This window comes from Homo sapiens, chromosome 12, assembly GCF_000001405.40.
Source record: "Homo sapiens chromosome 12, GRCh38.p14 Primary Assembly".
NCBI classification, from domain to species: domain Eukaryota; kingdom Metazoa; phylum Chordata; class Mammalia; order Primates; family Hominidae; genus Homo; species Homo sapiens.
Window position 1 is genome coordinate 121,254,787 of NC_000012.12, and position 22,509 is coordinate 121,277,295.

General features: G+C 48.3%; 1 protein-coding gene across 24 annotated transcripts in view, besides 1 other annotated feature; it reads right to left on the reverse strand.

Moving 5' to 3' along the window:
- The window catches only part of CAMKK2 (calcium/calmodulin dependent protein kinase kinase 2), a 60,128-nt gene that overhangs the window by 17,095 nt on the left and 20,524 nt on the right, over positions 1–22,509 (reverse strand). For 22 of the 24 annotated variants that reach the window (NM_153500.2, NM_172216.2, NM_153499.3 and 19 more), the window contains 8 exons: positions 19,270–19,799; positions 16,112–16,159; positions 14,742–14,795; positions 13,852–13,903; positions 9,020–9,153; positions 5,533–5,569; positions 997–1,018; positions 764–852 (listed from right to left, as the gene is read on the reverse strand). In NM_153500.2, coding sequence (NP_705720.1) covers positions 764–852; positions 997–1,018; positions 5,533–5,569; positions 9,020–9,153; positions 13,852–13,903; positions 14,742–14,795; positions 16,112–16,159; positions 19,270–19,740 — 907 coding nt within the window. In that variant the 5' untranslated portion in view covers positions 19,741–19,799. Of the gene's footprint in view, positions 1–763; positions 853–996; positions 1,019–5,532; positions 5,570–9,019; positions 9,154–13,851; positions 13,904–14,741; positions 14,842–16,111; positions 16,160–19,269; positions 19,800–22,509 lie in introns of those variants that run through there. The other 2 variants (XM_011537764.3, XM_047428109.1) reach the window with 2 other exon arrangements.
- Positions 807–1,307: an enhancer, noted in NCBI's record as "H3K4me1 hESC enhancer chr12:121693396-121693896 (GRCh37/hg19 assembly coordinates)". NCBI's record gives its function as "activates a minimal SCP1, AML or CMV promoter by ChIP-STARR-seq in naive H9 embryonic stem cells {active_cell/tissue: H9 hESC(naive)}" and the evidence as "EXISTENCE:reporter gene assay evidence [ECO:0000049][PMID:30033119]".

Sequence of the window (22,509 nt, forward strand, 5' to 3'; positions counted from 1 at the left end):
AGCTGGCCCTGATTCTGCATTTCACACAATTCTGTTTCCCACTATGATGGTTGATACTGAGTGTCAACTTGATTGGACTGAAGGATACAAAGTATTAATCCTGGATGTGTCTGTGTGGGTGTTGCCAAAGGAGATTAACATTTGAGTCAGTGGGCTGGGGAAGGCAGACCCACAATCTAATCAGCTGCCAGCGAATATAAAGCAGGCAGAAAAACGTGAAAGGTGAGACTGGCCTAGCCTCCCAGCCTATGTTTTTTTCCTATCTGGATGCTTCCTGCCCTCAAACGTCAGACTCCACGTTCTTTAGTTTTGAGAGTTAGATGGGCTCTCCTTGCTCCTCAAGCTTGCAGACAGACTATATTGTGGGACCTTGTGATCGTGTAAGTTAATACTTAATAAACTCCCCTTTATATATATAATTATATATATAATTTTATATATATATAATTTTATATATATATAATTATATATATAATTTTATATATATATAATTATATATATAATTATATATATAATTTTATATATAATTTTATATATATATAATTATATATAATTTTATATATATAATTATATATATAATTTTATATATATAATTTTATATATATATATGTATCTCCTATTAGTTCTGTCCCTCTAGAGGACCCCAATCCACCCGCCCACCTCCCTGTGCTCCAGGAAGAAAATAAGACACTTTCCACTTTGCACCCACGCTCAGAATGCTAACTACCCACTGGGTGAGAGCCCTCCCGCAGGCCCTGCTCACAGTACTCGATGCCTTTGATCAGATCCTGGAAGTAGAAACGGGCCTGGTCTTCAGAGAGTGGTTTGAGGGTGGGCACTTCCATCACGGGCCTGAAAGGTCGACACTCATGTGAAACACAAAGCAGACCCGCCAGCCCTTGCCCTCTCTCATGAGCAGAGCCCAGTGGCACCTCACTCAGCTATGCAGCTACAGAAGCTTCTTGCATCACCCCTGCTGGGAGCTGGGACACTCACCCTTGGTTGACCAGTTCGAACACTGTAGGGAAGAAAAGGGTGAAACTGTTACATGGGAAACTGAACATCCATCTCTCTCTGTCCTCCCCACCTCCCAACCACCTCCAGAAACACCAAGAAAGACAGAAACTAGTATTAGAGCTGGGGAGAGGAACAGTCCACTGAACCAAGCTGGCCAAGGTCCTGCTTTGCTAAATTTCCATCAGAAGGCAAAGAACCAGGGATTTCTGACGTCCCCAGGCCCACAGTCTGGCTTGACTTCTAGTGCTCAAATTGGCCCAGGATCCACTGGTCAAAGAAAACACGGCAGGGGGCTGGGCACGGTGGCTCACGCCAGTGTAATCCCAACACTCTGGGAGGCCGAGGTGGGCGAATCACCTGAGGTCAAGAGCTCGAGACCAGCCTGGCCAACGTGGCAAAACCCTATCTCTACTAAAAATACAAAAATCAGCCGGGCGTGGTGGCAGGTGCCTGTAATCCCAGCTACTTGGGAGGCTGAGGCACAAGAATCACTTGAACCTGGACAGCGGAGGTTGCAGTGAGCCAAGATTGCACCCCTGCACTCTAGCCTGGGCAACAGAGCAAGAATGTCCCAAAAAAAAAATTTCTTTGAGATGAAATTTACGTAACATAAAATTACCCATTTTAAAGCGTGCAATTGAGTGGCATTTAGTATATTCACAATTTTGGGCAATCATCACAACTATCTAGTTCCAGAACATTCTCATCACCTCAAAAGAAAACCTCATACCCATTAGCAGTCACTCCCTATTCTTCCCTCCCTCAATCCCCTGGCCACCACCAATCTGTTTCCTGTCTCTATAGATTTGCCTGTTCTGGACATTTCATATAAATGGAATTGTACACTATGTGGCCTTTTGTGTCTGGCTTCTTTCACTTAGCATCATTAGCACGTTTTTAAGGTTCATCCACACTGGTGCATGGATCAGTGCTTCATTCCCTTTAATGGCTGAATAATATTCCATTGTATGGATAGACCACATTTTCTTTGTCCATTCATCTGTTGAGGGGCATATGGACTGTTTCTACTCTTTGGCTGTTGGGAAGTGCTGCAATGAACGTTCGTGTACATGGATATGTTCATGTGTGGATATCTGTTTTTGGTTCTTTTGGGTATATACCTAGGAGTGGAATTTCTGGGTCACGTGGTATAGTTATTTAATTTGATTCTGCTATGACAAGCATAAATTGGAATACAAGGCTGTACTTTAGGAAGTTAAAAAAAAAAAGAGCACAGTCGATTTCAAAATCCAGTGGAGGATGACTCTGGGGTTGCTTGTTGTTCTGGAATCATACACCCACAATGAGATGAGCATGTAATAGAAACCAGAGGGGATACCCCATTTTCCATGATGGGATTATTATGCACTGCATGCCGGTATTAAAACATCTCATGTAACCTATGACTATATCCACCTACCATGTACCCACAAAAATTAAAAAAACTTTTTTTTTTTTTTTGAAATGGAGTCTTGCTCTGTTGCCCAGGCTGGAGTGCAGTGGCACGATCTTGGCTCACTGCAACCTCTGCCTCCTGGGTTCAAGCGATTCTTCTGCCTCAGCCTCCCGAGTAGCTGGGACTACAGGCACCTGCCACCACACCCGGCTAATTTTTTGTATTTTTAGTAAAGATGGGGTTTCACCGTATTGGTCAGGCTGGTCTCGAACTTCTGACATCAGGTGATCCACCCACCTCGGCCTCCCAAAGTGCTGGGGTTACAGGCAAAAAAATTTTTTAAAAATGAAACCAAAGGGTTGTTTCAAAGCTCTCCAAGGGCTGAGGTGGCCAAGGGGAACAGGGAAGCTACTCAGACAAAAAGAAGGCTTAAAGGTTCTGATCAGGAAAAGAACTGAACTCTCCCAGGCCTTCCCCATCTTCAGTTTCATCAACCAGTGTGAGTTAGGGCAGATTTGCTATTGCTTCAGGCTGTAGTTAAAAACAAAGGCAATGCTGCTAAGGTACAGCTTCTACAGACAACCCAGCGCTGGCCCCCTCAGCTCTGGCCTTTCCTGCCTTGGTTATTTAAGTCTTCACTTGCAAGCTTCATGAATTTCTGCACCATCCTCCCACCCACCCAAGCACCATAAATCAGGTGGCATGAGGGAGGGTGGCCTGTTGAAACAGGTCTATTTTCAGTCGCTAACAGTTCAACCACTTTTGGGGCTGAGCAGTGGGTGGGAATTTTTTAACCTCTAGAAATAGAGATCGAGTTTTCTACTTTTTTTTTTTTTTTTTTTTGAGACAAAGTCTAGCTCTGTCACCCAGACTGGAGTGCAATGGCACGATCTCGGTTCACTGCAACCTCCGCTTCCCAGGTTGAAGTGATTCTCCTGCTTCACCCTCCCAAGTAGCTGAGATTACAGGCATGTGCCACCACATCTGGCTAATTTTGTATTTTTAGCAGAAACATGGTTTCACCATGTTGGTTAGGTTGGTCTCGAACTCCTGACCTCAGGGGATCCACCTGCCTTGGCCTCCCAAAGTGCTGAGATTACAGGCATGAGCCACCACACCCAGCCCCCTCCTCCACCTTTTTTTGTTTTATTGAGACAGGGTCTTACTCTGTCGCCCAGGCTAGAGTGCAGTGGCACAATCATAGCTCACTGCAGCCTCAAACTCCTGGCCTCAAGCAATCCTCCCACCTCAGCCTCCCAAGTGCTGGGGTTACAGGCATGAGCCACCGCACCTGGACTGAGTTTTCTGCCCTTTGCATGTCAGGCCTGTAGCTGCAGACCCTTTCTGATACCTACTACCCGGCCTCATGCACTGCCCTGTCTGTCTCAGTCTCACACGGCTGTGGCTGGAAAGTAAAATATAACCGTGTCAGGATTTTCAAAACCACTGGAATCACATACCCCAAATTAGCATGGCTTTCTGCAACTGCCACCTCGAGTTGTGAAAAACTATCCCTGCAGCTGCCCAGCTCAAGCAGATCACGAAACTCTTCTTTGAGGCTTGGACCATGTTCTCTTTATTCTCATTCCACCCGTCAGCTCAAACCCCCCAATGGCTTCCATCACTCTCAGAGTCAAAGCCAATTTTTTTTTTTTTTTTTTTTGAGACAGTCTCACTTTGTTGCCCAGGCTGGAATGCAGTGGCGCCATCTTGGCTCACTGCAACCTCCGCCTCTCAGGTTCAAGTGATTCTCGTGCCTCAGCCTCCCGAGTAGCCAAGATTATAGGTGCACACCCCCATGCCCAGCTAATTTTTGTATTTTTAGTAGAGACGGGGTTTCGCTATGCTGCCCAGGCTGGTCTCAAACTCCTGAGCTCAGGTGATCCACCCGCTCGGACTCCCAAAGCGCTGGGATTACAGGGGTGAGCCACTGTGCCCGATCCAAGTTCTTTACAATGTTGTAAAATACCTTCTGCCACCTGGTCCCTGCTGTTCTGCCCAAATGTCACCTTGGTGAGACATTCCCTGGGGAGCCACTGTATTTCTCCATCCCCCAACCCAAAACTAGCAGCCCCTCGTGTCCTGCTCGGGGTTTTTGTTTTGTTACGGTGTTGTCGCTTTCAAAACCCACGCATCACACTCAGGTGCGCTCCCCAAGGACAGGGGTTTTTGAATGTTGTCCCTGATGAACCTACAGCAGGGTCTGACAAATTGTAACATTTGTTGAATGAACAAAGGCACGCCTCAGAAAGAGCTCAAAGCCATTCTGACCTGGATCTGGGGTCCCAAGTGAGAGAATTACGCTAAGAATGCCATTCTGGGCTAAAATGACTTTTGGCATATTGTGATTTCTGCTGTATCTCCCCAAACTTCATTTATTTGCCTACTATGTTTATAATCTGGCCATACCTATATGCCACATCAATTATTTATTGAATGTTTTTCTTTAAATTGACTCAGTTTTTAATTTTTTAGCCTTGTCCTAGATGATAATATCCATGAAACTATGAGTTTGGGGTGCTGGTTATAGTTTTTCCTATACAATGTTAAATTAAATATAAAATTGTTTTTCTACCTTTTTTCTGTGTACCACCTAGAACAGTGCCCACCATATAGGAGGTTGTCAATATATACATGCTTTGGGAGGCCAATGCAGGAGGATCTCTTGGGCCCAGGCATTTGAGGCCAGGCTGGACAACATAGTGACACTTTGTCTCTAGAAAAATTTTAAAAATTAGCTGGGTATGGTGGCCCATGCCTATAATCCAGCTACTCAGGAGGCTGAGGTGGGAGGATCACTTGAGCCTGGGAGATCAAGGCTGCAGTGAGCTGTGGTCACACCACTGAACTGTAAGCCTGGGCAACGGAGCAAGACCCTGACTCAAAAAAAATAAATACATGCAAATGAATGAATAGGATCAGATAAAGTTCCAGCAAGAACTCCCTTCCACCTGCTGATCCCAACCAGGGGTGTGGCCTCCGGTGGGGCCAGCTGGACCAGGAAAGGGAAAGCTGTCTTTGGTGGAAGGTGCCAGGGCACAGGCTGCCTCGAGAGGACCCCTGGGCATTGGCAGGTGTGGTGCCTGGGTGAGGGTGGCAGAAGAAAAGGGCTTCCTTACCCATGTACAGATGGTCCTCATTGGGGTCATCCAGGACCTTGGCACAGCCACATGGAATAGGCAGGAGACGGATGGCGGGGGAGAAAAAGAGAGAATAGATATGAGCAGGGAGGAGGCAGCATCCACGTGGCTGCGTTTGCCAACAGGAGGGCTGCATTTGGCAGCGTGTTTCCCAGTTAAGATGGAAGATAGGGAAAACCCCCAGAGTGTGAGATCCTAATGGCTATTCGGAAAATAAATGCCTCTCTGTCTGATCCTCGAGGATCTGAACACTCAGGAGGTCGCAAAAGGGAGGGGCCAAAATACTCCCCTGGAAATATCTCATGCTTGAATAAGAATCCAGCCTATCTCCGGCTGGGCGCAGTGGCTCATGCCTGAAATCCCAGCACTTTGGGAGGCCGAGGCGGGCGGATCACCTGAGGTCGGGAGTTCAATACCAGCCTGACCAACATGGAGAAACCCCATCTCTACTAAAAATACAAAATTAGTCCGGTGTGGTGGTGCATGCCTGAGTAATCCACCTACTCAGGAGGCTGAGGCAGGAGAATCGCTTGAACCTGGGAGGCAGAGGTTGCAGTGAGCCACGATCACGCCATTACACTTCAGCCTGGATGACAGAGCAAGACTCTGTCTCAAAAAAAAAAAAAAAAGAATCCAACCCAGCTCCTAGGAGACAACGGTGTTCAGGGTGAAAATTCAAATCCTATCTGGGCTCAAGTGACTCCACGAAGCCTCCCCATTGCCCCTAACCCCACAGGAAATGATGTCTCCCTGCCCAGAACAGCCACAGCACTTTCTCTCTCTCCAAAGGGCAGGCATCAGGCTACATCCACCTTGATTTCCTCGGTGGCGTCCTGTACAGGGCACGGCATACAGAAGGTGCCCAGGGAATATCTGATGAATGAACAAACAGATGGGCTGGCAAAGAGTCTTGTTGGGTGAAAAGGCCAAATGCCATAGGGCAGCGGAGAGAAAAGACACCCTGCCAGGACCCAGGGCCCCTCGCTAACCAAATGCCCTTGGGCTTCCTGGAAAATGGCCAACTCTAGCACCAGTGAGTCGAGATTGTGTCACTTAGTGTGACCGGTGGTGATGGCCTGCAACTGCTATCTCTCTTCTTTGGGAAGAAACAAATGCAGCCTCCCTGGCTAGACTAGTCCCCCTGATTCTTCCCTCATCACGTCCGCTTTCTCCAGTCACCCAAGATCAATAAGACAACAGGCCCCAAGAAAGGGAGGCACCCTAGGCAGAGCCTGGGCTAGCAGCCTGAAGCCCTGAGCCATGCCCTGTGGGGAAGGCACACCCAGGGCCTTGTCCGCCTAGAGTTCTGCACCAGATGAGTCCCAGGCAAAGTGGTAGCTAGCCCTCACATCTCCCGAAGGCACCATGTACTCCCCCAAACAGAGGCTTCCAGCCCTTTCCACATGCAGCTCCCTGCCCTGCAATGCCTTTCCGTGACTTCTCATCCAGGAACCACCACGGCCATCTCAAACATCACTTCCTCTAAGAGGCCTCTCCCAGCTTCTCCCAGTGAGCTGGCTGCCCCCGCTTTGTACTCCCATGGCACTCTGAACATCCAGCACGGTGACAAGTCCTTGTCGTCTAGACCAGAGGTGCTCCAAACACAATCTGGAGATGTCTGCAGATCCCCAAGATGCTTCATGGAGTTTACAAGGTTCACTATTTTCACTTTAAAACGAAGACAGTATTTGCCTTTTTGACTATCATTCTCCACTAGTCTACAGGGTTTTCCAGAAACCTGATGATATGTGATGTCACAAAACATTGAATGCAAAAGCAGAGATGAGAATCCAAATGTCTCCTATCAAACCAAACAGTAACCCAAAAAAAGGCAAAAATGAAAAATGAAGCCACTCTTCTACTTTTTATTTTTCATAAAAATGTATTACTCGGCCGGGTGCAGTGGCTCACTCCTGTAATCCCAGCACTTTGGGAGGCCAAGGCGGCTGGATCACGAGTTCAGGAGATCAAGACCATCCTGACTAACACGGTGAAACCCCATCTCCATTAAAAATACAAAAAATTAGCCAGGCGTGGTAGCGGGCACCTGGAGTCCCAGCTACTTGGGAGGCTGACGCAGGAGAATCACTTCAACCCAACAGGCAGAGGTTGCAGTGAGCTGAGATTGTGCCACTGCACTCCAGCCTGGGCAACAGAGTGAGACTCCGTCTCAAAAAAAAAAAAATGTATTACTCATGTTAATACGCAATAAGCTTATTGTTTTCTTTTCTTTTTTAGAAACAGGGTCTCACTCTGTCTCCCAGGCTCGAGTGCAGTGGCACAATCATGGCTCACTGTAGCCTCGAACTCCTGGGCTGAAGTGATTCTCCCACCTCGGCCTTCGGAATAGCTGGGACCAAAGGCGTGCACCACCATACCGGGCTAATTTTTTAAATTTTTTGTAGAGACAAGGTTTCACCATGTTGCTCAGGCTGGTCTCAAACTGCTGTCCTCAGGTGATCCTCCCACCTCAGCCTCCCAAAGTGCTGGGATTATAGGCGTGAGCCATCGTGCCCAGCCTATTGTTTTTAAATAATTAATAGTTTAAATTTTCTCAGTTTTAAATTATAATGTGGTAGATATTAATAAATATAACTCATATAAGTGAAAGTGCTTTTGGGTCTTCAAAAAAAGTTTTTTTTTTTAGAGACAGAGTTTCACTCTTGTTGCCCAGGCTGGAATGCAATGGCGTGATCTCAGCTCACTGCAACCTCTGCCTCCCCAGTTCAAGCGATTCTCCTGCCTCAGCCTCCTGAAGTGGCTGGGATTACAGGCACCCGCCACCACGCCCAGCTAATTTTTTTGTATTTTTAATCGAGTACAAAGGCATCCTGAGACCAAAAAGTATGAGAACGGCTGATCTAGAGCAGGGGCTGGCAAACTACAGCATGTGGGCCAAATTCAGCCCTCTGTCTGGTTTGTTTGTTTGTTTGTTTGTTTTGTATTTTTAGTAAAGACAGGGTTTCACCATGTTGGCCAGGCTGGTCTCAAACTCCTGATCTCAAGTGATCTGTCCACCTTGGCCTCCCAGAGTGCTGTCATTATAAGCGCGAGCCAGTGCACCCGGACTTGTTTTTGTAAATAAAGTTTTACTAGAACACAGCCATGCCATTTGTTTACATCATGTGTGTGGCTGCTTTTGCGCTATGACTACCCATATGTGTAAGTAGAAAGAGAACCAGCTTCAAAGAGACAGAAATGGGTGAAGGGATCCCTCTGAGCCTCAATTCCTTTGTCCGTAAAATGAGAGTAATAAATATCTGACAGAAAAACAAAGCAGGCAAAAGAAAGAAGAGAAAAAATAGTTAATGTGAGTAACAAATACTCTTAGGGAGCAGTAAATACAACTCAGCCCTGCAGTGAGCGGTCTGGTGTGACCTGGCTCTCCCTGGAAACCAGTGGCGGGGTGTTTGGGTATTAACAAAGCCAGGGCCTCCCTCCCTCCTGGGCGCCTCCACCCTTTTACCTCCACCAGCTTCACCACATTGGGGTGGTCCAGCTTCTTGAGGATGGCAATTTCCTGGTACACCTGCTCAATGGGGCCCCTGGGCTGGATGCAGCCTCCAGGAGCTGGCCGGGTGCCTCGGGGTGGAGGGCGACCTGAAGGAAACAAAAACAGACCCAGGGTCAGGGCAAAGAGACTTTCCTCCGCAGAGGGCAGCTGCAGGTGGGATGCCAAAAGGTGGGATGCCAAAAAGCCACTCTGCAGGGCTGGAGTGGCTGCTGCCACCAGGGGCTTTAACTAACCCTCTACTCCTCTGTCTCCTCTGCTGCTGGAAGTGAGTGAGGGCGGAGCCCTCGGCCGTCCTGTGAATTCCCTCCTTCCCGTCACATCCCCAGTCCATGCCCTGGTCCACAGTGAAAGGCAGGAGTGCTGAGGCAACTGCAGTCTAGCTCAGCAATCTCAACACCCAGGGTGAGTCAATCACTTCCCCTCTCTGGGCTCAGTTTTTGCAGTCCATAAAATGGACATAAACATTAACTCTTATCTCCTTAACTCATAGCACAGATGGCTGGCTGGGCGCTATGGCTCATGCCTGTGATCCCAGCACTTTGGAAGGCTGAGGCGGGTGGATTTCTTGAGCCCAGGAGTTCAAGACCAGCCTGGGCAACACGGCGAAACCCTGACTCTATAAAAATCACAAAAAATTAGGGCCGGGCACAGTGCCTCATGCCTGTAATCCCAGCACTTTGGGAGGCCGAGACGGGTGGATCACAAGGTCAGGAGATTGAGACCATCCTGACTAACACAGTGAAACACTGTCTCGACTAAAAATACAAAAAATTAGCCGGGCGTGGTGGTGGGCGCCTGTAGTCCCAGCTACTGGGGAGGCTGAGGCAGGAGAATGGCGTGAACCTGGGAGGCGGAGCTTGCAGTGAGCCAAGATAGCGCCACTGCACTCGAGCCTGGGTGACACAGCAAGACTCAGTCTCAAAAATAATAATAATAATAATAATAATAATAATAATAATCACAAAAAATTAGTCAGGTATGGTGGCACGTGCCTGTGGTCCCAGTTACTCAAGAGGCTGGGGTGGGAGGATCACCTGCGCCCAGGAAGATCAAGCCTGCAGTGAGAAGTGATCATGCCACTGCACTCAGCCTGGGTGACAGAGCGAGACCCTATCAAAACAAAAAACAAAAAAAACAAAAACTAAATAGCACTGATGTAAAATGAAGCCAGGGAGAAGAAAAGAAGCAAGCATCGGGAGAGAAAAACAAAAGGCTATCTAGAAAGGAGAGGCACTCAGGCCACCGCTTGATCCTGCAGTAAACAATAGGCAGTCACAAGGATGTACAGACCCACAGTGAAAACCCTCACGATGGCACACATCCCATGTAAGTAAGGCTCTGAGTGTGACTAACAGAATAGAACAGGGATGTGATCGGCCTTGGAAAAGCAAAGGCAGAAGTACAGGTGTCAGAGGGAGGATGTGAAAGGAGGAAAGCTGAGTCCAAAGGAAAAGGGAGGGTGTGGGGAGGTGGGAGACACGCGTCATATAGCTGGAGAGAGGGGAAAGTGGTAGTGTGTGTCCACAGAGGAGCTGACCATCAGGAGAGCGTTCCACTGCCTGCTGGGGAAAGGGAGGTGCTACGGTCAGGATGTTTGTGCTCCTCCAAAATTCATATGTCAAAACCTAATCCCCAACGTGATGGTATTAGGAGATGGGACATTTGGGAGAAGAGTAGGTCACGAGGATACAGCTCTCATGAATGAGATTAGTGCTGTTATAAAAGAGACCTCAGGCTGGGCGCAGTGGCTCAGGCCTGTAATCCAAGCACTTTGGGAGGCCGAGGTGGGTGGATCATGAGGTCAGGAGATCGAGACCATCCTGGCCAAACCCCGTCTCTACTAAAAATACAAAAATTAGCCAGGTGTGGTGGTGCACGCCTGTAGCCCCAGCTACTTGGGAGCCTGAGGCAGGAGAATTGCCTGAACCCAGGAGGTGAAGTTTGCAGTGAACCAAGATAGCACCACTGTACTCCAGCCTGGTGACAGAGTGAGACTCTGTGACTCCGTCTCAAAAAAAAAAAAGACCCCAAAGAGCTGTCTAGCCCCTCTGCCATGTAAGGATGCGGTCAGAAGGCACTACCTATGTTTGTTTGTCTGTTTTGAGACAGGGTCTGTCTACCAGACTGGAGTGCAGTGGCGCAATCAAGAATCACTGCAGCCTTGAACTCCCAGGCTCAAGGGATCCTCCCGCCTCAGCCTCCCGAGTAGCTAGGACTACAGGTGCACACCACCATGCCCAGCTAATTTTTAAATTTTTGGTAGAGACAGGGGTCTCACTACATTGCCCACACTGGTCTCAAACTCCTGGGCTCAAGTGATTTGCCCACCACTGCCTCCCAAAGTGCTGGCGTGAGCCACCGCTCCCGGCCTGAGATGGTGCTAACTATGAACCAGCCTCCAGAAGTGTGAGAAATAAATATCGGTTAGGTTAAGCCACCCAGTCTCTCGTACGTTGTTACAGGACACCATTTGTTATTTTGTTAAGACAAGAGGTAAGAAGGAGTGTTTAAGCAAGCGAAATCCTCTATTGTCACTGGAAGAAGCCAGAAGCAGATGTCAAAAATTGATAATAGTGACGTGAGGATTATGACCTGGTGCAGCGTTTGGATAAGCAGGATAAACCAGGGTCCTACTGTTAGGATGGGTTTTTTTTTTTTTTTGAGATGGAGTCTCGCTCTGTCGCCTAGGCTGGAGTGCAGTGGCGCGATCTCGGCTCAGTGTAACCTCTGCTTCCCAGGTTCAAGCAATTCTCTGCCTCAGCCTCCCGAGTAGCTGGGATTACAGGCACCCACCATGCCTGGCTACTTTTTTGTATATTTAGTAGAGACAGGGTTTCACCATCTTGACCAGGCTGATCTTGAACTCCTGACCTCGTGATCCACCCGCCTCGGCCTCCCAAAGTGCTGGGATTACAGGCATGAGCCACCATGCCTGGCTGTTTGTTCTTATCTAATTTCTCTTTTTGGCCCAAGCTGACATTTTGCCCAGCAATGCTGGCAGGGAGCTTATGTTGAAGCAGCCTCTGATACTCTCACCTGCAGCCTATCATCTGACCACACACAGGAGCTACCAGCAACTAAAAGTGCTAAAAGCCAAGGCTGCCTATAGGAGAAGGAAAGAGGTCAGCAAGAAACTGGTCTCCATGATGAGCCCTCCTGTGCTCTGGCCTTTTTTTTTTTTTTTTTTTTTTTTTTTTTTTGGTAGATATAATTCAAATACCTCGTGGTATTTAAATTTTTTTAATTTATCTTTTTTTTTTTTTTTTTTTTTTGAGAGATGGAGTCTCAGTCTGTCGTCCAGGCTGGAGTGCAGTGGCGCAATCTCAGCTCACTCCAACCTCCGCCTCCTGGGTTCCAGCGATTCTCCTGCCTCAGCCTCTCGAGTAGCCAGGGATTTACAGATGCATGCCACCATGCCTGGCTAATTTTTGTATTTTTTTAGTAGATGCAGGGTTTCACCATATTGGCCAGAATGATCTCAAACTCCTGACCTCGTGATCCACCCACCTTGGCCTCCCAAAGTGCTAGGATTATAGGCATGAGCCACCGTGCCCTGCTAAATTTACCATTTTAAAATGTGTATTTTAATGGTTTTTAGTGCTGACAAGGTTGTGCAACCATCACCATTATCTATTGCATATTTTTTTTTCTTTTTTTGAGATGGAGTCTTGCTCTGTCACCCAGGCTGGAGTGCAGTGGCATGATCTCGGCTCACTGCAACCTCCACCTCCTTGGTTCATGCAATTCTCCTGCCTCAGCCTCCCGAGTAGCTGGGATTACAGGCACACACCACTACGCTCAGCTAGTTTTTCTATTTTTAGTAAAGATAGGGCTTCACCATGTTGGGCCTGGCTGGTCTTGAACTCCTGACCTCAAGTGATCCACTCGCCTCGGCCTCCCAGAGTGCTGGGATTACAGGTGTGAGCCACCGTGCCCGGCCAACTGCAGAATATTTTCAATGCCTCCCTAAATATCTATATACATATCTGATATCTATCAGCATTCACCCCTCATTTCCCCTGTTCCCCAGAGCCCCCAGCAATCACAAATCTACTTTTGTTCCTATGGATTGGCCTATTCTGGGTATTTCACATAAACAGAATCACATAATATGTGAGCTTTTGTGTTAGGCTTCTTTCACTTAGCATAATGTCTTCAAGACCCCTCTGTGTTGGGGCATGAATTGGTACTTCATTACTTTTCATGGCTGAATAATATTCCATTGGATGCATATATATATATATATACTCTATTCATATTACTTTTAATGGATGAATATTCCACTGGATGCATATATACTCTATTCATTCTCTGAAGCCGTGTGTGCTGTTTCCACTTTTTAGTTATTGTGGCTAAACCTGCTATGAACATTCACATACAAGCTCCTAGGTGAACACGGATGTCCTGTTCTCTTGGGTATATAAGTAGGAGTGAAATTACTGAGTCATACGGTAACACCATGTTTAACTTTTTGAGGAATTGCCAGTGTTTTCCTCTATTGGATTTTTTGACTTGATACCTATATAACTTTAATAAATATTTTTATTTTATTATTTTTTGAGACAGAGTCTTGCTCTGTCACCCAGGCTGGAGTGCAGTGGTGCGATCTTGGCTCACTGCAAACTCCTCCTCCCAGGTTCAAGCAATTCTTGTGCCTCAGCCTCCCAAGTAGCTGGAACTACAGGCATGTGGCACCATGCCCAGTGCAATGGTTCCCATTCAGGGGGCTCTGCCCTGTCTTGTCCCAGCCCCTGTACCTAACAACAAAGGCCCGCCAAACTCACGTGGAAAGCCGGCCTGCCGGATCAGCTTCTTTTTGGACAGCACCTTCATTGCCTGCAGGAAAATGAAGGACAGCACCTTTAGCCAGGTCCTGTTTAAAGCAGGGAGGAAAAGGGGAAGGAGGGCGCAGTCGGGGTTCCTCTACTCCAAAGCCGGCCCAAGCTCCTGGCCCCCTGGCAGGCTCAGGTCAACAGAGTGAGCCCCTCATTACCAGAGAGGGTCAAGCAGCCATGGGGTTGTAGGGAGGCTGGACTCCTGGGGTGCCTCCAGCTCTGAGGTGTTCCTGAGGCTCACGGTCGCCTCTCTCAGCTGGGAAACCACGAGCCTCAGGACTTGCTGCCATCGAATCAAAACACAAGTGAGCTGGAGCAATGGGCAAAGGAGGGGCAGGACTGGTTGTTTTACACACGGGGAAACTGAGGCTCAGCTGTTTTACACATGGGGAAACTGAGGCTCAGCTGTTTTACACATGGGGAAACTGAGGCTCAGCTGTTTTACACATGGAGAAATATCACTTGTCAAGGTCACATGGTTGGCACACGATAGATTCAGGTTCAAAACTACGCTGGACTGACTCCAAAGCCACCCACACAGACACCTGTCTCACTGCTGCCTTGTTCTCAATACTATGGAGGATGCAGAGATGACAGCTCAGAGGAAGGGCATAAAAGCCTTTTGCTGAATGAGTAACTTTTTCTGGGCCAATCCCCTCACCTCCCCATTTTCCTATCTGTAAAATGGGCATACCACTTCCTTCCTAAGGCACAAAATAAACATGACCTAAGAATAAAATGAGACAACAGCTAGGAAAACTTTCCAGGAAGCTGAGTGCTGGAAAGGAGGCTCTTCTGTGGATAAGGATGGGGGCAGGGAGGAGAATGCGGATACTCACATAGTAGGTATTGTCATTTTCATTGTAGGCCAACTTGACGACACCATAGGAGCCCTGGATAAAGGGAGATGCCCATGACATACTATCCAGAAGTTAAGATCTGCAAAATGAGAACCCTAATACAGACGTTGCAAACCGGCAGCCCATTGGTCAAATCTGTCCCGCAACTGTATTTTGTTGGAGCCCAGGTTTTTACAAAGTTTGGATTAGTTGCCAAGATTTAAAAACAGAAAGATCTGGGCGGAGCGCAGTGGCTCATACCTGTAATCCCAATACTTTGGGAGGCCGAGGCAGGCGGATCACTTGAGTTAAGGAGTTTGAGACCAGCCTGGCCAACATGATGAAACCGCGTCTCTACTAAAAATACAAAAATTAGCCGGGGCATGGTAGCAGGCACCTGTAATCCCAGCTACTCAGGGGGCTGAGGCTTGAGAATCACTTAAACCCGAAAGCAGAGGCTGCAGTGAGCCAAGATTTCGGCACTGTACTCCAGCCTGGGCGACACAGTGAAATTCAGTCTCAAAAAAAAACAGAAAGGTCTGATATAGAAATCTATATTCCTTGCCAGGCAAGGTGGCTTACACCTGTAATCCCAGCACTTTGGGAGGCCGAGGCGGGCAGATCACTTGAGGTCAGGTTTGAGAACAGCCTGGGCAACATAGTGAAACCCTGTCTCTACAAAAATTACAAAAATTAGCCAGGTGTGGTGGTGCACACCTGTACTCCCAACTACTTGGGAGGCTGAGGCAGGAGAATCGCTTGAGCCTAGGAGGCAGAGGTTGCAGTGAGCCGAGATTGCGCCACTGCGCTCCAGCCTTGGTGATAGAGCAACACCCTGTCTAAAAAAAAAAAAAAAAATCAAGATTCCTAGTTTATTTTGAAAAAATGGAAAGATCTAGCTATATGTAGCCCTCATTTCCATATGTTAATGGTTTGCCACTGTCCTTACCACTCCCTACTACCTTACAGCTGGCATGCCTCACTCCTTTATATTACTTACTTGTTTTCTACTGGCATTTGGAGTTTTGACCATGGTGATGATACCCCCCATTAGCTAAAACAAAAGCAAAACTAGATGTCAGAGTACCTCGGGGTGAAACAAAACCCCAAATGTATTGGGGATGTAACTATCACCAAGGCGATATGGAATTTCGTTGGAAGCTTTCTGAGCTTCTGCAGAAACATATTTAATTTTAAGATACAAGAAAACAAAACTAAACCAAAAACCTAGATCATTAATGACAAAACCCTCTCCACCAACCTCGCCTTCAAAGACTCCTCTCCTGCTCCCAGCTTTACCCCGTTCCCTCCACAGTATCTGAACGCCCCTGGTGAATGCAGAAAGCCAGCCTAGCCCCAGGGATATTTACCTTTCCAATTTCATCCTTCAGGGTATACTGATTCAGCTGCACACAGTCCTAGAGAGTAAGGAGAGACACGTGCAAAATGAATTTTAAGTTTGCAACTAGAGGCCAGGCACGGTGGCTCACACCTACAAGCCCTTCAGGAGACCAAGGTGGGAGGATCACTTGAGTTCAGGAGTTCCAGACCAGCCTGGCCAACATGGTGAAATCCCATCTCTATTAATAATATAAAAATTAGCCAGGCGTGGTGGTGGGCACCTGTAATCCCAGCTACTCAGGAGGCTGAGGCACGAGAATCGCGTGAGCCCAGGAGGTGGAGGTTGCTTGAGCGGAGATTGCACCATTGCACTCCAGCCTGGGCAAAAGAGTAAAACTGTGTCTCAAAAAAAAAAAAAAAAAAGTTTGCAACTAGATACATTTCTCCAAATTAAACACATACAGGTAACCAGAACCCAAATCAAGAAAGAGAACATCCCCAGCTCCCAGAAGCCACTCGCACCTCTGCCCTCCCCCAGGTGGCCACTCTCTTGACTTCTAACAACGCTGATTTTGCTTGTTGTACTTTGTCAAAATGTAACCACACACTGTGGACTCTTGTAAAACCCATTTTTTAAAGAAGGTTGTTCCTACTTTTAAAAAGTAAATTTTAAATCAAACAAGTAATCCTTGGCTACATTGTCCTGTAAAAACATAAAGTGATACAAGAAAAGCAAGTCTGTGCAACCTTGGGGTAGACAAGGGTTTCTTAGATAATACAAAAAAGGTACAGACAAAAGAAACAAATGATAAATTGGACTTCACCAAAATTAAAACTTTGGCTTTTTTTTCTTTTTGAGATGGAGTTTTGCTCTTGTTGCCCAGGCTGGAGTGCAATGGCACAATCTCAGCTCACCGCAACCTCCGCCTCCCAGATTCAAGCAATTCTCCTGCCTCAGCCTCCCAAGTAGCTGGGATTACAGGCACCCACCACCACGCCCAGCTAAATTCTTTGTATTTTTAGTAGAGATGGGGTTTCTCCATGTTGGCCAGGCTGGTCTCTAACTCCTGACCTCAGGTTATCCTCCCGCCTTGGCCTCCCAAAATGCTGGGATTACAGGCGTGAGCTACTGGGCCTAGCCTATTTTGTTTTTTGTAGAGATGGGTCTTCCTATGTTGCCCAGGCTGGTCTCAAACTCCTGGTCTTAAGTGATCCTCCCGCCTCAGTCTCCCAAGTAGCTGGGATTACAGGCATAAGCCATTGTACCAGGCCTTGACAGTTTCTTAACAAACATCTACCGTACCACAGGCCACTCTACCCAATAGAAGTGAAAATGTGTTTACAAAGACTTGCATATAAATATTAATAACAGCTTTAGTTGTAATAATAAAAAATTGGAAGCAATCCAAATGTCCTTCAACAGGTAAATGAATAAACAAACTGTGGTACGTCCATACAATTGAAATTATTCAGCAATAAAAAGGAACTACAGATATACGCCACAACATGGATAAATCTCAAAATCATGATGCTGTGAAAGAAGCTAAGCTAAAAAGGAGCCATTGCTCATAGGTCCTAGCTCTGTTTTTGGCTCATGCTGTGAATTCTCCCTCCTCTCAACTCTCCAGGGCCCAATTTTCATCTCCAATTATGAAAGTTTTTCCTGGCCTTCAAAATGTAGTCCCTATAGCCCCTTCAAAATCAGCCCCTTTGGCAGTGCACAGTGGCTCATGCCTGTAATCCCAGCACTTTGGGAGGCTGAGGCAGGTGGATCACCTGAGGTCAGGAGTTCGAGACCAGCCTGGCCAACATGGCATTACCCCATCTCTACTTAAAAAAAAAAAAAAAAAAAAAAATTAACTGGGCATGGTGGTGCACACCTGTAGTCCCAGCTACTCATGAGCTGAGGGAGGAGAATAGCTTGAACCTGGGAGGTGGAGGTTGCAGTGAGCCAAAATCACGCAACTGCACTCCAGCCTGGGCAACACAGCAACCCTCTGTCTCAACAACAACAACAAAAAAAAGCCCCTTTAGAAAGGCATCCTGATGTTGGGTCTTCTTCCAATTAAATTCATTCGTTCCTTCAACAAATATTTTTGCGCTCCTACTATGCACCAGGTACTGTGCTAGGCTCTGGGGATGGGATAGGGTGTGGAGGTGGATGAAATGATCCTATGGAGCTTACGTTCTGGCTGGGTGGAGACAGGCAATAAACAACTAAACCAACGCACAGATAATCAGATGCTGATTAACGTTATGAAGGAAAGCAAATAGGGCCATGGGGCAGAGAGAGGCTGGAGGGTGCTTTAGGGATGGTGGCCCGGGAAGCCTTTTGGAGGAGGTGATACTGGAGTTGAGACTTGGACATTATCGGAATAGGCCTTACAAAGTTGGCATGGGGTGGTGGGGGAGGTGGTTCCAAGCAGAAGGAACAGCGAGAGTACAGACCCAAGGCAAGAGCTTGGATTCCGAGGAATGTGAAGGCAGGAACAGAGGGAGCTTAGGGAGCTGGCAGCAGAATGGCAGGAGGGATGGGAAAGGGTCAGACCACACAGGGCCCTGTGAACCCTGGTGAGGATCTGAGTTCTCTGTATCCCCGCAGGGTTTACGGTAAGGGTCCTGTGAGAAATGCACAGCAAGTGCTGAACCCAGTGCCTGGTGCCAACACACGCTCGGCCAGGCGGGTCGTCGCCAGGCTCTCAGTGACCCGCCTCATTCCATCACACCTTCGCCCACACCTCAGTCTCTTTGCTGGAGGCTCCCTCCGGCCCTGCAACTGCTCTGTCCACACCCACAGGGGGTCACACACACCTGCCCCAGCAGCCCTCACCCATGAGTATAAATACCCCAGCTCCCTTGCCCCTGGTGGGATGACTGAGGCTGCTGCTCTGTGCTGTTCCCCAGGGTCCCACGGAAGGAAAAAGCCCCAGCGGCCCACACTCCACACTGGTAATCGGCTCCATGACCCACCCTTTGCTGACTGCCTTCCCTTCCCCATGCTGATTCACGACCCCCCTAGGGCCCCTTTTTGGCCCCAGCCGCCCCCAAGGTTCCCTGGAGTCAACTCCTAGGTCAACCGTGGCACTCAGATCCTTCTGGGGGAGCCCAACCTTCCACAGAGGCCCTGCTGGGGGCAGGGAAGGGCACCAGGGACCCCTAGGACCTGGCTCACCACCGGCTCACGCACCTGCATACCCGTGATGGAGACGTGGTGAGACTCCACTGTCGGCCGCCGGGGCAGCCGAGGCGAGGACTGCGGGGAGCTGACGGGTGAGTAGGGCAGGGACGGGCAGATGCAGCGTCCGTTCATGTCCAGGCTGCCACCGGCTGCCAGCCCACCCTGGGACCGCTCTTGCAGAGACAGCTTGCGACCGGAGAGGTGGGGCCGGGCCTGGGACCCGGAGGTGTCAAGGGGGACCTCTTGGCCATCGGCCTCCAGGGGCCGGTCCCGCGCCAAGCCGAGGTCCACAGCACAGCCCGGCTCACACTCGGTGACCACAATGAAGGACTCCATGCCCAGGTGGATGCTCAAGGATGAGAGGCCCCGCAGGGCCTCACAGGGCTTCTGGCTTTCGCTGCTGCTGCTGCCCCTGCCCCCCAGCTCATCCTGGGGGGCGGCCCGGTTGCTGCTGGGCTGGCTAGAGACACATGATGACATGGTGCATGCGCCAGCTTCATCCAGCACACTGGGGCACTCCCATCCGGCAGCGGAGCCACCTGCAGAAAGAGAAAGGGTCAGCTGGCCCAGCTCCTACGGGCAGGGACAGGAAAGGATCCCCTCTCCTCCTGGCCCAGGCTGCTGTCTAATTCCTGCCTCCAGTTGACATCCTAAAAAAATCTTGCAAAACATGGTGTGATCTGATCTCTGAGTCTATACAGAAAAGCAGAGTCTGCATCTTCTTATATTTTTTCTTTTATTATTTTTTCTTTTTTTTTCTTTTTTTTTTTTTTGAGACAAGGTCTCTCCCTCTCTCTGTTGCCCAGGCTGGAGTACAGTGGTGCGATCATAGCTCACTGTACCCTTGAACTCCTAGGCTCAAGTGATCCTCCCATCTCAGCCTCCCAAGTAGCTGGAACCACTTCTCACATACCATGACAATAATTCCTAACTCAATTCCTATAGGAACAAGTATAAGAAAACCCCCAAATAGAGCACACATATCCCCTACAGAATTGACAGCTGCTTCCAGCTCAAGCCAATTGTTGCTCGGCAGGAATCTGGGCCTACTATTGCTGGTCTTCCCTTTGTTTTTCCCAAGAGAAGCCCTAAGGAGGTTAATAAGTTTGCCTGACTTTTTATTTTTAAATGCTGGGCATTAACAATGCAGGTCAGGGCTGGACACGGTGGCTCACACCTGTAATCCTAGCATTTTGGGAGGCCAAGGCAGGCAGATTACTTGAAGCCAGGAATTCCAGATCAGCCTGGCCAACATGGTGAAACCTCATCTCTACTAAAAATACAAAAATTAGCCGGGCATGGTGGCGTGTGCCTGTAATCCCAGCTACTCAGGAGGCTGAGGCAGGAGAATCGCTGGAATCCAGGAGGCGGAGGTTGCAGTGAGCCGAGATCATGCCACTGCACTCCAGCCTCAGCAACTCAGCAATAGACCAAGACTGTCTCAAAAAAAAAAAAAAAAAAAAGGTCGGGGGGAATCAAGTATATGCCACAATATGGATGAACCTCTAAAATATTATGCTAACTGAAGGAAGCCAGTCACAAAAGGTCACATATATATGATTCTATTTATATGAAATTTTTAAAATATGCAACTCCACAGAGACAGAAAGTAGACTAATGGTTGCCTAGGACTATGGGGGTGGTGACATTAGTGGGTGTGGGGAATGGCTGCTTAATGGGCACAGGTTTTCCTTTTGGGGTGATCAAAACGTTTTGAAACTAGATAGAGGTAATGGTTGCACAGCATTGTGAACGTACTAAATGCCACTGAACTATACACTTCAAAATGGCCAACTTATGTTACATGAACTTATATCTCAATTTTTTAAAAAAGGCCAGGCACGGCAGCTCACGCCTGTAATCTCAGCACTTTGGGAGGACAGGGCGGGTGGATCATGAGGTCAGGAGTTCAAGGCCAGCCTGACCAACATGGTGAAACCCCATCTCTACTAAAAATACAAAAATTAGCCAAGTGTGGTGATGTACACCTGTAGTCCCAGCTACTCAGGAGGCTGAGGCAGGAGAATCACTTGAACCCGGGAGGCGGAGGTTGCAATGAGCCGAGATCACGCCACTGCACTTCAGCCTGGATGACAGAGTGAGACTCCATCTCAAAAAAAAAAAAAAAGAGAGAGAAGTCGGACACAGTGGTTCATACCTGTAATCCTCCCAGCACTTTGGGAGGCCAAGGCAGGTGGATCACCTGAGGTCAGGAGTTCAAGACCAGCCTGGCCAACCTGGTGAAACCCCATCTCTACTAAAAATACAAAAATTACCTGGGCATGGTGGTGGGCACCTGTAATCCCAGCTACTCGGGAGGCTGAGGCAGGAGAATCACTTGAATCCGGGAGGTGAAGGTTGCAATGACTGAGCCGAGATCGCACCACTGCACTGCAGCCTGGGTGACTGAACAAGACTCATCTCAAAAAATAAAAATAAAAAAGATTAACACATCCCCTTAGGCTGTCAATTCTTACCGTCTCTGGGACAGAACATTAACCTTTGCTTAACGTGTTTGACAAATTCTGCTGGACAAATGTCACAGGTACCACTGGAATTCAGGGAGTACATTTGTGGACAGACACCTGTGGATGATGGCCACTCCATGCTAATCACCCACATCACAAAGGGTCTCTCTGGACCATCCTGGCCAACATGGTGAAACCCCGTCTCTACTAAAAATACAACAATAAGCCAGGTGTAGTGGCTCATGCCTATAATCCTAGCTACTGGAGAGGCTGAGGCAGGAGAATTGCTTGAACCTGGGAGGCGGAGGTTGCAGTGAGCTGAGGTTGCACCACTGCACACCAGCCTGCCAACAGAGGGAGACTCCATCTCAAAAAAAAAGGGCGGGGTGGGGGGGGGGTCTCTCTAGATGTCCCAGGAAAACAGTGAGGGCTCAGCAGAGATTTTATGAATGAATAAAATGGTATCTCCGATGACATTGGGAGGTAGTGGGGTAAAAGAGAGGAAGGTACAGACAGCGGAAAGCCAGAGCTCCCTGGAGGATCTGGCTGAGAGGCAGAAAATGGCCCTCAGCGCTCTCGGAACGGTCCTTCCAGAAGAACTGATGAAATAGCTACTACGCCAGGCACGTGGCAGGGAAAGCCCAACAGGAAAGGCAAAAGGGAAAACCCAACGCCCCAGCCCTGACACGGGCCTGACTCATGCACACAGAGTGTGTGGTAAGAGAACGCCAAAGAGTCCAATCATGCGGCAAGATGTTCAACCTCACAGTAAGAGAACTGC